Consider the following 18,088-nt stretch of genomic DNA (forward strand, 5'->3'; position numbering starts at 1 on the left):
CCATCCCCTCAAGCATTTATCCTTTGTGTTGCAAACAATCCAATTATACTCTTTTATAATGTACAATAATAAATGTACAATTAAATTATGGACTATAGTCACCTTATTGTGCTATCAAACACTAGGTCTTATTCTTTCTATTTTTTTTTGTACTCATTAACCATCCCCACCTTCTCCTAACACCCCCACCACCCTCATATGGTAGTTCTATTTTTAGTTTTTTGAAGAACCTCCATACTGTTCTCTGGTAGTTCTATTTTTAGTTTTTTGAAGAACCTCCATACTGTTCTCCATAGTGGCTATAATTATTTACATTTCCAGCAACAGTGTGTGAGAGTTCCCCTTTGTCCACATCTTTGCTTGCATTTGTTATTGTGTGCCATTCTGATACAAACTATTTTAACTGGAGTGCGATGATACTGCATTGTGATTTTGATTTGCATTTCTCTGGTGATTTGTGATGTTGAACATTTTTTCATATACTTGTTGGTCATTTGTATGTTTTCTTTTAAGAAATATCCATTCAGATCTTTTGCCCATTGTAAAATCAGATTATTTATTTTTGGTTTTTTGCTTTTGAGTTGTTTGAGCTCCTTACATATTCTGGTTATTAATCTCTTGTCAGATGGATAGTTTGCAAATATAGTCTCCCATTCTATGAGTTGGCTCTTTTGTTTGTTTTGTGGAAGTGTTTTAGCTTACTGTAATCTCAATTGTCTATTTTTGCTTTGGTTGTCTGTACTTTTTTTTTCTTTTTTTTCAATTATACTTTAAGTTCTAGGGTACATGTGCATGTCGTGCAGGTTTGTTACATAGGTATACATGTGCCATGTTGGTGTGCTGCACCGGTTAACTTGTCATTTACATTAGGTATATCTCTAATGCTATCCCTCCCCCCTCCCCCACCCCACAATAGGCCCTGGTGTGTGATGTTCCCCACCTTGTGTCCAAGTGTTCTCATTGTTCAATTCCCACCAATGAGTGAGAACATGCAGTGTTTGGTTTTCTGTCCTTGCGATAGTTTGCTCAGAATGATGGTTTCCAGCTTCATCCATGTCCCTACAAAGGACATGAACTCATCCTTTTTTATGGCTGCATAGTATTCCATGGTGTATATGTGCCACATTTTTTTTATCCAGTCTATTATTGATGGACATCTGGGTTGGTTCCAAGTCTTTGCTATTGTGAATAATGCCACAATAAACATAAGTGTGCATGTGTCTTTATAGCAGCATGTTTTATAATCCTTTGGGTATATACCCAGTAATGGGATGGCTGGGTCAAATGGTATTTCTAGTTCTAGATCCTTGAGAAATCACCACACTGTCTTTCACAATGGTTGAACTAGTTTACAGTCCCACCAACAGTGTAAAAGTATTCCTGTTTCTCTACATCCTCTCCAGCATCTGTTGTTTCCTGACTTTTTAATGATCGCCATTCTAACTGGTGTGAGATGGTATCTTACTGTGGTTTTGATTTGCATTTCTCTGATGACCAGTCATGATGAGCATTTTTTCATGTGTCTGTTGGGTGCATAAATGTCTTCTTTTGAGAAGTGTCTGTTCATATCCTTTGCCCACTTTTTGATGGGGTTGATTTTTTCTTGTAAATTTGTTTAAGTTCTTTGTAGATTCTGGATATTAGCCCTTTGTCAGATGGGTAGATTGTAAAAATTTTCTCCCATTCTGTAGGTTGCCTTTTCACTTTTCCCATTCTGTAGGTTGTAGTTTCTTTTGCTGTGCAGAAGCTCTTTAGTTTAATTAGATCCCATTTGTCAATTTTGGCTTTTGTTGCCGTTGCTTTTGGTGTTTTAGTCATGAAGTCCCTGCCCATGCCTATGTCCTGAATGGTATTGCCTAGGTTTTCTTCTAGGGTTTTTATGGTTTTAGGTCTAACATTTAAGTCTTTAAATCCATCTTGAATTAATTTTTGTATAAGGTGTAAGGAAGGGAGTCTTGCTCTGTTGCCCAGGCTGGAGTGCAGTGGCGCGATCTCGGCTCACTGCAAGCTCCGCCTCCTGGGTTCATGCCATTCTCCTGCCCCAGCCTCCACGCCCGGCTAATTTTTTTGTATTTTTTTAGTGGAGATGGGGTTTCGCTGTGTTAGCCAGGATGGTCTCGATCTCCTGACCTCATGATCCACCCACCTCGGCCTCCCAAAGTGTTGGGATTACAGGCGTGAGCCACTGTGCCCGGCCTTGTCTGTGCTTTTGAGGCCTTACACACAAAAAAAAATTGGCCCAGACCAGTGTCCTGAAGAGTTTCCCCAATGTTTAATTTGAGGTTGTATATTTAAGTTTTTAATCAGTTTTGATTTAATTTTTGTGTATTGTGAGAGATTGGGGTCTAGTTTCATTTCATTCTTCCACATAGTTAATCCAGCTTTCCCAGCAGCATTTATTAAAAAGACTATCCTTTCCCCAAAATATGTTCTCGGCACCTTTGTCAAAGATGAGTTGGTCATAAATGCATGGACTTATATGTGGGTCTGTATTATGTTCCATTGGTCTATGTGTCTATATTTATGCCAGTACCATGCTGTTTGGGTTACTATAGCTGTGTAGTGTATTTTGAAGTCAGGTAATGTGATGCTTCCAGCTTTGTTCTTTTTGCTTAGGATTACTTTGCTATTTGGAGTCTTTTGTGGTTTCATATAAAGTTTAGTATTATTTTTTCTATTTCTCTGAAGAATGTCGTTGGTATTTTGATAAGGATTGCATGGAATCTCAAAATTGCTTTGGGTAGTGTTGTCATTTTAACAACATTAATTCTTCCAGTACGTGAGCATGGAATACCTTTCCATTTTTTGGTGACCTCTTCTATTTTTTTCATCAGAGTTTTATGGTCTTCCTTGCCTAGATCTTTCACTTCTTTGGTTAGATTGATTCCTAGTTTGTTTTGTTTTGTTTTGTTTTTTGTAACCATTGTAAATGGGATTGCTTTTTTGATTTCTTTTTCAGATTGTTCTTTGACATATATAAATGTTATTGACATTTGTATGTTGATTTTTGTATCCTGCAACTTTACTGAATTTTTTTTACCACTTCTAATAGTTTTTTGGTGGAGTATTTAGGGTTTTTTTGATGTAAGATCATGTCATCTGAGAACAAGGCTAATATGACTTCTTCCTTTCCAATTTGGATACTCTTTATCTCTTTGTCTTGCTTAATTGCTGTGGCCAGGACTTCCAATATTATGTTGAATAATAGTGGGAAAGTGGGCATCATCATCTTGTTCCAGTCTTTAGAGGAAAGGCCTTCAATTTTTCCCTGTTGGCTTTTATTATTTTGAAGTATGTCCCTCCTATACCTGTTTTGATGAGGGTTTTTTTGGTTGTTGTTGTTGTTATAAAGGGATGTTGAATTTTATTGAATGCTTTTCTGGCATCCATTGAAATAATCATATGGTTTTTGTTCTTGATTCTGTTAATGTCATGTATCATGTCTATTGATACATATATGTTGAATCATTCTTGCATCTCTGGGATGAATCCCACTTGATCATGACAAGTGATCTTTTTAATGTGTTGTTGAATTCAGTTTGCTGGATTTTTGCATCTATGTTCATATTATATCAATATATCAAAGTGTATTGGCCTGTAGTTTTCTTTTTTTGTTGGTTCCTTGTATGGTTTTGGTATCAGGGTAATGCTGGCCTCTTTGGATGAGTTTGGAAGCATTCCCTCCTTTTCAGTATTTTTGAAGAGTTTGAGTAAGGTTGGTATTAGTTTTCTTGAAATGTTTGGTAGTATACAGCAGTGAATCCATCAGGTCTTGGGCACTTCTTTGATGGGAAACTTTTTATTATGGCTTTGATCTTGTTACTTATGATTGGTTTGTTGAGGTTTTCTATTTCTTCATGGCTCAATCATGGTAGGTTGTCTGTGTCCAGGAATCTAACCATTTTTTCTAGGTTTTTCAATTAGTTTTGCATATAGTAGTTTATAATATTATTTAATGATTCTTTGTATTTCTAAGGTTTCAGTTATATCTCCTTTTTCATTTCTTATTTTTTTATTTGGATCTCTCTTTCTTAGTCTAGCTAAGGTTTGTTGATTTTGTTTATCTTTTCAAAAAATCAGTTTTTCATTTCATTGATCTTCTGTGGTTTTTGTTTTTGGTTTTTTGAGACAGAGTCTCACTCTGTCACCCAGTCTGGAGTACAGTGGCGTGATCACAGCTCACCGCAGCCTTGACCTCCTATGCTCAAGTGATCCTCCCACCTCAGCCCTTCAAGTAGCTGGGACTATAGGCACGTGCCACCACATCTGACTAATTATTGCATTTTTTGTAGAGATGGGGTTTCACCATGTTGCCCAGGCTGGTCTTGAACTCCTGGACTCAAGTGATCTGCCTGCCTTGGCCTCCCAAAGTGCTAGGATTACAGGTATGAGCCACCGTGCCTGGCCTCTTCTGTATTTTTTTAAATTCCAATTTCATTTATTTCTGCTTCGATCTTTATTTCTCTTCTTCTGCTAATTTTCGGTTTGGTTTATTCTTGATTTTTTTTTTTTTTTTTTTTTGACGGAGTCTCGCTTTGTCACCCAGGCTGGAGTGCAATGGCGTGATCTCGGCCACTGCAACCTCCACCTCCCGGGTTGAAGCAATTCTCCCACCTCAGCCTCCCGAGTAGCTGGGACTACAGGTGTCTGCCACCATGCCTGGCTAATTTTTGTATTTTTAGTAGAAATGGGGTTTCACCATGTTGGCCAGACTGCTCTCAAACTCCTGACCTCAAGTGATCCTCCTATCGTGGCCTCCCAAAGTGCTGGGATTACAGGCATGAGCCACCGTGCCCAGCCTATTCTTGATTTTCTAGTTCTTCAAGGTGCATCATTAGATTATTTGAACTCTTTCTACTTTTCTAATATGGGAATTTATTGCTATAACCTTCCCTCTCAGTACTACTTTTGCTCTGTCTCATAGATTTTGGTATGTTATATTCCCATGTTCATTTGTTTCAATAAATTTTTAAATTTTCTTCTTAATTTCTTCATTGACCCATTGGTGATTGAAGAGTATGTTACTTAATTTCCATGTGTCTGTGTATTTTCCAAATTCCTTTTATTATTGATTTCTAGTTTTATTCCATATGGTCAGAAAAGATACTTGTGATTTGTATTTTTCTGAATTTGTTTAGACTTGTTTTGTAGCCTAAGATATGGTCTGTTCTGGAAAATGTTTCATGTGCTGGTGAAAAGAATGTATATTCTGTAGCAATAGGGTGAAATGTTCTATAAATGTCAGTTAGGCCTATTAGATCTAGTGCGTAGTTTAATTTTACTCTTTCTTTGTTGATTTTCTGTCTAGATGATTTGTCTATTACTAGAGTGGCATGTTAAAGTCCCCTACTATTATTGTATTGTAGTTTATCTATGAACCTAACACTGGAGCCTTCATGTATATAAAGCAAGCATTAACTTTATATACTTGGGGGCTCCAGTGTTGGGTTCATAGATATTCATAATTGTTATATCTTCTTGCTGAATTGCCACCTTTATCATTATATAGTGACCCTCTTTGTCTTTTTTTAGTCTTTGATTTGTAGTCTATTTTATCTGATATAAGAATAGATACTCCTGATCTTTTTTAGTTTTCAGTTACGTGGAATATCTTTCAGTCTCAGTCTATGTGTATCTTTATAAGTGAAATGGATTCCTTGAAGGCAGCATATAGTTGGGTCTTATTTCTTTATCCATTAAGCCACACTATGCTTCTTAATTGGACAATTGAGACCATTTACATTCAGTGTGATTGTAAATAAGTATGGACTTACTGCAACCATTTTATTGCTTGTTTTCTCCTTGTTTTGAGAATTCTCTTTTCCTTTTTTTGTTTCTTATTGTCTTCCTTTGTAGTTAAGTGATTATCTCTGGTAGTATATTTTAATTTATTGATGTTTATTTTTAGTGAATATATTATAGGTTTCATACTATCATTACCATGATTCTTGCAAAAAACATCTTATAAATATAACAAATTATTGCAGTCCAGCCTGGGCAATAGAGCGAGACTCCGTCTCAAAAAAAAGAAATATATATATATATATATATATATACACATACATACATACATATATATATATATATAACAAATTATTTTAAAGAGATGACACTTATTTTAGATCACAGACAAAAGAATGGAAACAAAGGCAAAAAAAAATTCTACACTTTAGCTTCTTCTCCCAACATTTTCACTTTTAGTTGTCAACTGATATATTTTTATATTACCTATTTCATTTTCACTTTTAGTTGTCAACTGATATATTTTTATATTACCTATTTCTTAACAGGTTGCTATAGTTATTATTGTTTTTGATAAACTTGTCTTGGAGGCTTCACACTAGAGATATGAATGGATTGTACACCACAGATACAGTAATAGATTATTCTGTGTTTGTCTGTATACTTAATTTTACCAATGGTTTTTATACCTTGAACATTTTTTCTTTGCACACTGGTATTTTGTATTTTCTTCCAGATTGAAGAACTCCATTTAGCATTTTTTGCAAGGTGGATCTGGTAGTGATGAATTGTCTCAGCTTTCATTTGTCTGGGAAAGACTTTATCTCTACTTCTTATTTAAATAACAATTTTTTCTGGATACAAAACACTTGGATGGCAGGGCTTTTTTTTCCCTTTGGGCACTTTGAAAATGCCATTCCACTCCCTTCTGCCTGCATGGTTTCATTGAGAAGTCTGTTTCCAGATGAATTGGGGCTTCTTTATATGTTATTTGCTTCTTTTCTGTAGCTGATTTTAGGGTATTCTCTTTGTCATTGACCTTTGTGAGTTTGATTATTATATGTCTTGTATAGATTGAATCTGTTTGGTGGTCTAAGACCTTCCTGTACGTGGATATTTATATCTTTCTCAAGTTTTGGAAAGTTTTCTGTTGTTATTTCTTTGAATAAGTTATTTATCCCTTGTTCTTGCTCTGCTCCCTCTTAAACACAGGAATTCTTACATTTGGTCTTTTGAGGTACTCTTTTATATCTTATAGGCAGTCTTTGTTCCTTTTTGTTCTTTTGTCTTTTTTCTCCGCTGAATGTGTATTTTCAAACAGCTGATCTTCAAGCAGAATTTCTATACATCAACATTGTTCAAGCTGAGGGCCAAATCAAGAATGCAGTCCCATTTACAATAGCTGCAAAAAGAATAAAATATGTAAGAATACAGCTAACTCAGGAGGTAAAAAAAAATCTCTACAATGAGAACTACAAAACATTACTGAAGAAAATCAGAGACAATACAAACAAATGGAGAAACAGTCCATGCTCATGGATAGGAAGAATTAATAGTGTTAAAATGGCCATACTACCCAAAGCAATTTACAGATTCAATGCTATTCTCGTCAAACTACCAACATCATTTTTCACAGACTTAGAAAAAACTATTTTAAAATTCATATGGAACCAAAAAAGGACTGAAAAGTTAAAGCAATCTTAAGCAAAAAGAACAAAGTCAGAGTCATCACATTACCTGACTTCAAACTATACCACAAGGCTACTGTAACCAAAACAACATGGTACAACACAAAAACAGACATATAGACCGATGGAACAGAATAGAGAATCCAGAAATAAAGCTGCACCCCCACCATGTGATCTTTGACAAAGTAAACAAAAATAAGCAATGAGGAAAAAGGCTTCCTGTTCAATAAATAGTCTTAGAATAACTGGCTATCCAGATGCAGAAGAATGAAACTGGACCCCTACCTATCACCATATAAAAAAATTAACTCAAGGTGGATTAAAGTCCTCAAAAGTAATTTCAACAAAAACAAAAATTGACAAGTGGGACCTAATTAAACTGAAGAGCTTCTACACAACAAAAGAAACTATAAAGGGAATAAACAGATGATCTATAGAATGAGAGAAAATATCTGCAAAGTATGCATCTGACAAAGACCTAATATCCACAACCTATAAAGAACTTAAATAACCCCATTAAAAAGTGGGCAAAGGACATGAACACTTTTCAAAAGAAGACATACATGTGGCCAACAAGCATATGAAAAAAAGGCTCAATATCACTGATCATTAGGGAAATGCAAATCAAATCTACAATGAGATGCCATCTCATACCAGTCAGAATGTCTATTAAGAAGTAAAAAAAAAAACAGATGCTGGCAAGGTTATGGAGAAAAAGGAACGCTTATGTGTCTATATTTACATCAATATAACTCTGTACTGATTACTATCGCTTTATAGTAAGTTTTAAAATCAATTACTATGTGATGGTTAATACTGAATGTCAACTCGATTGGATTGAAGGGTACAAAGTATTGATCCTGGGTGTGTCTGTGAGGGTGTTGCCAAAGGAGATTAACATTTGAGTCAGTGGACTGGGAAAGGCAGACCCACCCTTAATCTGGGTGGGCACAATCTAATAAGCTGCCAGTGTGGCTAGAATATAAGCAGGCAGAAAAATGTGAAAAGAGACTGGCCTAGCCTCCCAGCCTACATCTTTTTTTTTTTTTTCTTTTTTTTTGAGATGGAGTCTCACTGTGTCACCCAGACTGGAGTGTAGTGTTGCGATCTCAGCTCACTGCAACTTCCACATCCTGGGTTCAAGCCATCTTCCTGCCTCATCCTCCTGGGTAGATAGGACTACAGGCATGTACCACCATGCCTGGCTAATTTTTGTATTTTTAGTATGGCCAGGCTGGTCTCAAACTCCTGATCTCAGGTGATTCACCCACCTCGGCCTCCCAAAGTGCTGGGATTACAGGTGTGAGCTACCATGCCTGGCCCCAGCCTACATTTTCCCCCATGCTGGATGCCCTCAAACACTGGACTCCAAGTTCTTCAGTTTCGGAACTCAGACTAGCTCTCCTTGCTCCTCAGCCTGCAGACGGCCTATTGAGGGACCTTGTGATCATGTGAGGTAATACTTAATAAACTCTCCTTTATATATATCTATTCCATTAGTTCTGTCCCTCTAGAGAACTCTAATACACACAGTAAGTCCTCCATTTTAAAATCTTTTTCTTGAAAATTTCATATATTGTATGTCCTTTAAATTTCCAAATAAAGTTTGAAATCAGTTGTCAATTTTTACAAAAACATCTGCTTAGATTTTTGAGAGAGATTGTGTTGAATCATTTAGGCAGAAATGCCATCTTAAAAATATTGAATTATCCAACCATTGAACATGGTATATCTCTCCATTTAATAGGTTTCATTTAATTTCTCTCAGCAATATTTTGTAATCCCCAGTGTACAGGTCTTGTGCTTCTTTATTTTTACTGTTTATTCCTAAGTATTTTATACTTTTTGATACTATTGTACATGAATTATTTTCTTAAATTTTATTTTCACTGTTCATAGCTAACTTTAAAAGTTCAAAGCTAACTTAAAAAGATGTTTAGATCTTTCCCATTTTTAAATTAGTTGCTTTCTTATGGTTGAGTTTTTAAAATATTTAAATAGTCCTTTGTCCAGTATGTCTTTTGCAAATATTTTCTCCCAGTCTGTGGTTTGCCTTCTCATTCTTATGATCCACAGAGTATTTTAAAACTTGCTGTTTTACTTTCACATATCAGGGAGTTTCCTAGATTTCCTTTTTTTGGTGATTTCTACTTTAATTCTGTTGTGGTTAGAGATTATACTTTATTTTTAATGATATCTTTGTTAAGATATCTTTATATATAAATATATTATATATAAATAAATTATATATCTTTATATATCATATCATTTATATATCATAAGTGTACATTTCAGCTCTTAGGATATTCACAAAGTTGTGCATCACTTCAAAAAGAAACCCTATATTCATTAGCAGTCACTCTCCCAGCTGGTGGCAACTACTAAATCTACTTTCTGTCCCTACGGATGTACCTGTTCTGGATATTTCATATGAATGACATCTTTTGCTTAATGGATATCTGCATATCTTTATTAGATATATGTCTGTTCAAATTGTTTTCTTAGTTTTTAATTGGTTATCTGATTTTTTTATTGATGAATTGTGTGTGTATGTTTTTTTTTTAACTTTTCTGATGGTATCCTTTGAAGAATAAAAGTTTAAAATTTTGATGGAGTCCATTTGATCTTCTTTTTTCTTCTTTTGGTCATTTGCATATTGGTGTCATAGCTAAGAAGCCATTGCTTAATTTGGAGAATGTGCTTTGTATGATTTTATGCCTTTTTAATGTATTAAGAGGGTCCATGGCTCAGCATAGGGTCTAAAATGGAAATGTTCTATGTACTCTTGAAATAATATACATTCTGCTGTTTTAGGGAAATGTTCTATAAATTTCAGTTTGGTCATATTGTTTCATAGTGTTGTTTAAATATTACATATCGCTACTGGTTTTCTATCAATTTCTGGCAAGAGAGTATTAAGATTTCTAACAATTGCTCCATTATCTTTTTCTGTGTCAGTTTTTGCTTTGTATATTTTCAGGCTCTGTTGTTAGGTGCATATACATTTATAATTGCTATGTATTCCTTCTGCTATTAGTTTATCCATTCTACCTCTCTCATGGTTACTGATTACATGGCACTTTTTCCAACCCTTTATTTTCAATATGCTTGTTTTTCTTAATTTAAATAGTCTTTTTTGGACAGTGTACTATTGGATCTTGCTTTTTATCTACTTTGACAGTTTTTGCCTTTTGATTGAAGTGTTTAGTTCACTCACATGTAATGTAATTTTTGGTATGACAGATTTATGTTTTTTATTTTGCCATTTGCTTTCTGTATTTCTCATGTCTCTTTGTTGTTGTTCCTCTGTTCCTCCTTTGCTGTTTTCTTTGTGTTAAAAAAGTATACCTTTCTATTTCCTCTGTGTTTTTTAACTATTTAAGAATTTTTTCTTTTAGAGATAATAGTATTTATCTTTAGTGTATTACAATCTATTTCAAGTTGATATCGACTTAAAACGTAACAACTTTGCTTTCCCATTTTCTTTGTGCTATTATTTTCACATATATTACATCTAAATATGTTATAAACACAATAATGCAGTATTATAATTATTCCTTTAAATAATCTTACATTCTTAGAAATGCAAGAAAAAATATTCATATATAGTCTTTTATATTTATCCACATAATTACTATTTCTGTGCCTCTTCATTTTTTCTTGTGGATTCCAGTTACCGTTTCCTTTCAGCTTTAGCATTCTCAGTATGGCAAGTCTACTATCTGAAAATTCTGTTAGTATTTATCTGGGAAAATTTTTATTTCACCTTCACTTTTTGAACTTTAATGAGATAGAATTCACATACCATATAATTCACCCATTTAAAATATATAATTTGTTGGTTTTTCATATATCTATAGGTATGTAAATGATCACCACAGTCAATTTTAAAACATTTTTATCACCTTATAAAGAACCCTCATACCCTTTGCTCTTTTTTGTCACTGTTTTAAGGTAGAAAGTCATGTTACTGATTTGAGATCTTTCTTCTTTCTATTTTTAAAACATTTTTATTTTTGAAATGGGGTCTTTCAGTGTTGCGCAGGCTGGTCTTGAACTACTGGCCTCAAGCAGTCTTCCCACCTCAGCCTCCAAAAGCATTGGGATTATAGCCATGAGCCACTGTGCCTGGCCTCTTCTTTCTTAATATAGGTATTTATATCTATAAATTTTCCTCTAAGCACTGCTTTAGCTGAACCCCATAATTTGTTATATGTTGCGTCTTCATTTTCTTTCATCTCAGTTTTTTATTTTCCTTCTGATTTATTAAACCCATCAATTATTTAAGAGTGTGTTGTTAATTTCCACATATTTGTGGGTTTTTTAAATAACTTTCTTGTTATTGATTTCTAATTTATTCCATTGTGGTTGGAGAACATACTTCGTGTTATTTCTGTCCTTTTAAATTTATTGACTTTTTTTCCCTTATGGCATAGCATATGGTCTAATCTGGAGAATGTTTTATGTAGACTTGAGAAGAGTATATAATCTGCCTTTGTTTGATAGAGTGTTCTGTAGATGTCTGTTACGTCTAGTTCATTTATAATGTTGTTTAAGTCTTCTATTTCCTTGTTGATCTTTTGCCTCATTGTTCTCTCCATTATTGAAGGTAGGATATTAAAGTCTTCAACTGTTGTTGTTCATTATCTGTTTCTCCATTTCTGTCTGTTTTTTCTTCATGTATTTTGGTGCTCTGTTGTTAGTTGTATATATATTTATAGATGTTGTATGTTCCTTTTTTTTTTTTTTTTTTTTTTGAGACAGAGTCTCACTCTGTCACCCAGGCTGGAATGCAGTGGTGCAATCTTGGCTACTGTAACCTCTGCCTCCTGGGTTCAAGTGATTCTTTTGCCTCAGCCTCCTGAGTTACTGGGACTACAGGCATGCACCACCACGTCTGGCTAATTTTTGTCTTTTTAGTAGAGATGGGGTTTCACTATGTTGGCCAGGCTGGTCTTGAACTCCTGACCTCAAGTAATCCGCCCGCCTCAGCCTCCCAAATTGCTAGGAATACAGGCGTGAGCCGCTGTGCCCAGCCATATACATGTTATATCTTCCTGATGGATTGACCCTGTTATTCTTAGAAGGTATTCCTCTTTAGTAACTTTTTAAAGTCTGATATTACCATAGCCACTAAAATTTTCCTGTTGTTGCTGTTTGCAGTATACATCTTTTTCCAGCTTTTAATTTTAATCTATTTGTGTCCTTCAATCTAAAGTCTGTCTTCTGTAGACAACATATAATTGAATTTTTAAAAAATCTAGTCTGACAGCTGCTGCCTTTTGATTGGATTAAGCTGTTCACATTTAATGTTATTGATAGTTGGATTTATGCCTTCCATTTTACTTGTTGTTTTCTGTGTCTGCTTTTTGTTTCTTATGTGTTTCATGTCTTTTTTGTTTCTCTGTTTCTTCATTAGTGCTGTCTTTTGCATTGAGTATATTTTCTAATATGATTTATAAGACTGTTTGCATTGTTAGAATACCTGAGGCTACATAGTTTATAAAGAAAAGAGGTTTATTTGGCTTATTGTTCTGCAGGTTGTACAAGAAACATAGTGCCAGCATCTGCTTCTGTTAAGGACCTTAGGAAGCCTCCAATCATGGCAGAAGGCTAAGGGAGAGCAAAGATGTCACATAGTAAGGGAAAAAGAGCAAGAGAGAGAGAAGGTGGTGCCAGGTTCTTTTTAAAAATCAGATATTGTGGGAATGAATACAGCAAGAACTCACTTATTACTGCAAGGATGGCACCAAGCTGATCATGAGGGATCCACCTCCATGACCCAAACATCTCCAACAAGGCCCCACCTCCAACATTGAGGATCAAATTTCAACATGAGGTTTGGAGGGAACAAATTCCAAACTATATCATGTAGCATTTTTATTAATTATTTTTTCACTGAATTTTTTGAGTTCTTTTTTTGACTGGTTTCTCTAGGACTTGTCATATATATTGTAACTTGTCAAAGTCAGTGTCAGATTTTTTGTTTGTTTGTTTGGTAGAGATGGGGTTTTGCCACGTTGCCCAGGCTGGTCTCGAACTCCTGGACTCAAGCAGTCCCCCCGCCAGCCTTCCAAAGTGCTAGGATTACAGGCGTGAGCCACTGTGCCCAGCAGCTTGAGATTTATACCAGCTTAATGCCAATAACATATGAAAATGTTACTCCTATACATCTGTATTTCCTTTCTCGTAATGATATTTTTGTTATACATATTCTATCTATTAATATTACTAACCCAAGAAAATATTGTTATAATTATTACTTTACCATCTCTAGGCATTTCCTTAACTCATTACAACTTTGGCCCCACCTACCTACTATATGCTGTTATTGGAAAATATTTACACCAAATGTAAATAGAAATATATTACATTTCTATGTTATAGGCCAAACATTACTTTCTATTCTATAAATATTATTCTATATAATTGCTTTTTAAATCACTTGCTTTCAGCCTGATGAACTTGCTTTTATATTTATTGTAAGGCAGTTCTGGTAGCAATATATTTTGTGAGTTTTTGTTTATCTAGTGAAGTTTTTATTTTTCCTTTATTTTTGAACATTCACTTTGCTGGATTTAGGATTTATGATTAACAATTTTTAAATTTCTTTGAGTACTTTGAGTATGTTCTCTCACTGCCTTCTGGCATCTGTTTCTACTGAGAAGTCAGCTGTTAATATTATTTGGGTTCCCTTGTAAGTGACCTGATATTTTTCTCTTGTTGCTTCCGAGATTTTGTCTTTGACTTTCAGCATTTTTACTATGATGTTTCTGTTTGTGGGTCTCTTTGCATTTATCCTACTTGGAGTTTTTTTAGCTTCCTGGATGTGTTGGTTGTTTTTCAAGAAATTTGGGAAGTTGTTAGCTATTATTTCTTTGAATATTTTTCTTTTCCTTTTTCTTTTCTTCTTACAGTACTTCCATTATGAGTATGTTGGTATGCTTAATGGTGTTCCGCATCTCTCTTAGGCTCTGTTCATTTTTCTTAATTATTTCTTCTCTTTGTTCTTCAGCTTGCATAATCTGTATTGATATATCTTCAAGTTTGCTAATTCTTTCTTCTGCCATTTCACAGCTACTGTTGAGCCCTGTATTAGTTTTCTGGGGCTCCCATAATGAGGTACCACAAAGTAGCTTAAAAAACAAATTTTGTGGCTGGGCGCCGTGGCTCACTCTTGTAATCCCAGCACTTCAAGAGGCTAAGGCGGGTGAATCACCTGAGATCAGGAGTTCAAGACCAGCCTGGCTAATATGGTGAAACTAAAAATACAAAAAAATTAGCCAGGCATGGTGGCGCACACCTGTAGTCCCAGCTACTCAAGAGGCTGAGGCAGGAGAATCGCTTGAACCCAGGAGGCGGAGGCTGCAGTGAGCTGAGATCGTGCCACTGTACTCCAGCCTGGGTGACAGAGTGAGACTCCATCTCAAAAAAAAACCCAAATTTTGTTTTGTTTTGTTTTACAGTTTGGGAACCTAGAAGTCAGAAATGAAGATATTGGCAAGGTTGACTTCTTATGAGGGTCGTGAAGGAAGGATCTGTTCTAGGCCTCTCTCCTTTGTTGTAGTTGGCCATCTTCATGTTCACATGACATTCTCCCTGTTTGCGTGCCTGTCTCCACATTTCCCTCTTTTATAAAGACACTAGTCATATTAGATTTAGACCTACCTTGAGGTTTTCATTGTACCTTAATTTCCTTTTTAAAGACTCCATCTCCAAATAAAGTTATATTTTGATGTACTGGTAGACAGAACTTCAGCATATGAAATTTGGAGGGATACAATTCAACCCATAGCAAGCCTCTCTAGTGAATTTCTAATTTCAGTCATTGTACTTTTTAATTCCATAATTTCCATTATAGTCTTTTTTTTTGAGATGGAGTCTCGCTGTGTTGCCCATGCTGGAGTGCAGTAGCGCAATCTCAGCTCACTGCAACCTTCACCTCCTGGGTTCAAGCAATTCTCCTGCCCCAGGAAAAAAAATCTGTGTGCAGAATAACCAGATGTCAGATTTAAGAGAAAAAGATTTCAAACTAGCCATTATAAATATGCTCACAGTACTAAAAGGACAGCATGATTGCGGAAGTAAAGCAGGGTAAGAGGACAATGTCATGTCAAATAGAGAATATCCATAAAGGGAGAAATAATGAAAAGGAATACAGGCCGGATGCAGTGGCTTATGCCTGTATCCCAGCATCCTGACATCTGGTCACTCTGCAGGCAGTTTTTTTTTTTTTTTCCTTTAGGGGGTATGGGTCATACTTTTCCCATTTCTTTGCATGTCCCTTAATTTTTTGGTTGGAAACTGGGCATTCTAGATAATATGGTAGCAAACTCTGTGTGCTAGTCCCCACCCACCCTCTTTCCTGGGGCTTGTTATTGTTATTTATTTGTTTAGTTTTTTAGTAATGGATTGGATTATTTTAATGAAGTCTATCCCCGCCCCCCTCTCCCCCATAGTGGTAAACCTCTAATGTTGCTCCTCAGGGAGGCACCTTTTCCTTGAACATCTAGTATTTGTTTGTTTGAAAACTGGACAGTTTTGTATGTATTATAGCAACTCTGCATACTTTTTTCCTGTTTTGTTGTTTTTTATATTTTTTACATTACTTGCCTAGCCTACAGAATTTGTCTCCTTGTGTTGTACATTTATTGATGTCTGTGCTTTGTTTGTGTTTTAGTCTCATTTTCATTGTTTAGGTTTGATTCCTAAGGACTCTTTTTAGTGTCTACATATGTCAGCCAAAGATTTGGGCTGAGGTTCTGCTAATGCACCTTCAGCCCATAAAGTTTGTACTATCTGCTAATCAATCTGTGGGTTAGTTGGGGAATGCATTTGAAGTTGTGGGCATTTATTAATTTTTCCTTGGTCTTTTCTTTTTACCAACTCTCTGATGTTCCCCACACATATGTAATTTTCTAGTCAGCCAGGAATTTGTGGAGAACTTATGTGAATCCATTTATGGCTTTCTTATTTCCAAGCTCTCCCTGTTAAGTTTCTGGTTGGTCCACTGCTTGCCTCAACTTGGTTTGCAACCTCAGTCTTGCAAAACTGCAAGTTTTCTCTATCCATGTCCACCAAGTCCATTACTTTCAGCCAGTAGAGCTATAGGCTTTTGCCTCTCATTGAATTGATTTTGGCACCCTGGCATGAAACTACAAGTATACCAGCTACAGGATGGCAAAACTACAAACCTCATTGACTGAACTGGGGGCAGGGGTGATGGAGGCAGTTCTAGGCAAGGCTATTCCTGCCTGAAGCACTGGCAGTTTTTCAACAATCAACAATTCTCAATAAACAGTTTCCAGTGGCCTGAAATGGTTGGTCTTTTTGGATAATTTTGTTCAGTTTTATGTATTTTTTTTTTGTGGAGGGGAATTACTGACCTCTTCATACTGTTATTATTTTAATGGTGTTTTGAGTACCAAAATTGATAGATCTTATGAAAGAAGTGGCTTCATTATTCGTCAGATTATATCAAATGCTTTCCACACAATGGTGCTTCATTATAAGTCTAATACAAATGGTTACCAATCTTTTCATTCCACCATTATTGGAAGTTACTCTTGCTGTGCATTTTGTGATTAATCCTTACTATATCTTGAGACATGATAAAGTAGGTTAATACAAAAGCCTATTTTTGAAACAGTGTGATAAAATTAATTAATGTAGACATTGTTGGAAATGGATAAGTTGCACAATTACATATTATTTTTTTCTCAGTTTTTTGACAGTGTAGTATAGGTAAATATGTCTTCAGAAATCCTTAATATACTTATTAATTAACTAGATCATAACTGAATTTCATAAATATTGTTTTCTTAAAAATGCATTATATGGGATTACTTTTGTATCTAAGTAAGACATTAAACCTATAAGCTAAATAAGGACTATATCAATAAACTTGTTTAAATGAAGATTTGGAATTTCCGTATAGAAAAATTCATTACAACAAAGTAGAAAGATAAACAACAAACTGGATTAAAAGTATTTAAGTCGCCTGTAATCCCAGCACTTTGGGAGGCCGAGGTGGGTGGATCACTTGAGCCTAGGAGTTCAAGACCAGCCTGGGCAATATGGCAAAACCCCGTCTTTACTAAAAATACAAAAATTAGCCAGGTGTGGTGGCACGCACCTGTAATCCCAGCTACTTAGGAGGCTGAGGCAGGAGCATTGCTTGAACCCAGGAGGCGGAGGCTGCAGTGAGCAAAAGTTGCGCTGCTGCACTCCAGCCTGGTTAACTGAATGAGAGTGTCTCAAAAAAAAAAAGTATTTGAATCACTTTTGATTGGACAGTAGGCTAATTTCTTTGATATGTAGAAATCTTACAAATTGACTAAAAGCAGGATAAATAATCATTACAAAAAATGGGCCAAAGAATATGAACAGGCAAGTTACAGAGGAAGAAGTATAAATGAATATTAAACATGAAAAGATGCTCAGGCATCTAAAGAAATTCATTTTAAACCACCTATAAAATCCTATTTTCTGTTAGATTGAAATAGTAATACCCAGTATTAATGAAGCTGATGGAGAAAATGAGCTCTCCTTGTTATTATTGCTTTGGAAACATCTATCAGAATTTAAAATACAAATGCCATATTCCCTAGAAATTGAAAGTACACAAAAGATATGCAAACTGAAGAATATTCATTGCT

At 35.3% G+C, this 18,088-nt stretch overlaps 1 protein-coding gene across 24 annotated transcripts in view; it reads left to right on the forward strand.

Moving 5' to 3' along the window:
* Nucleotides 1-18,088, forward strand: part of TRPC1 (transient receptor potential cation channel subfamily C member 1) — an 83,855-nt gene that overhangs the window by 33,895 nt on the left and 31,872 nt on the right. The window contains exon 2 of one of the 24 annotated variants that reach the window (NM_001413385.1): nucleotides 4,293-4,385. The exons of the other annotated variants lie outside the window; for them this stretch is intronic. Within the exon in view, the coding sequence (NP_001400314.1) occupies nucleotides 4,293-4,385 (93 nt within the window). The remainder of the gene's footprint in view (nucleotides 1-4,292; nucleotides 4,386-18,088) is intronic. 24 annotated transcript variants of the gene reach the window in all.

Source organism: Homo sapiens, chromosome 3, assembly GCF_000001405.40.
Source record: "Homo sapiens chromosome 3, GRCh38.p14 Primary Assembly".
NCBI classification, from domain to species: domain Eukaryota; kingdom Metazoa; phylum Chordata; class Mammalia; order Primates; family Hominidae; genus Homo; species Homo sapiens.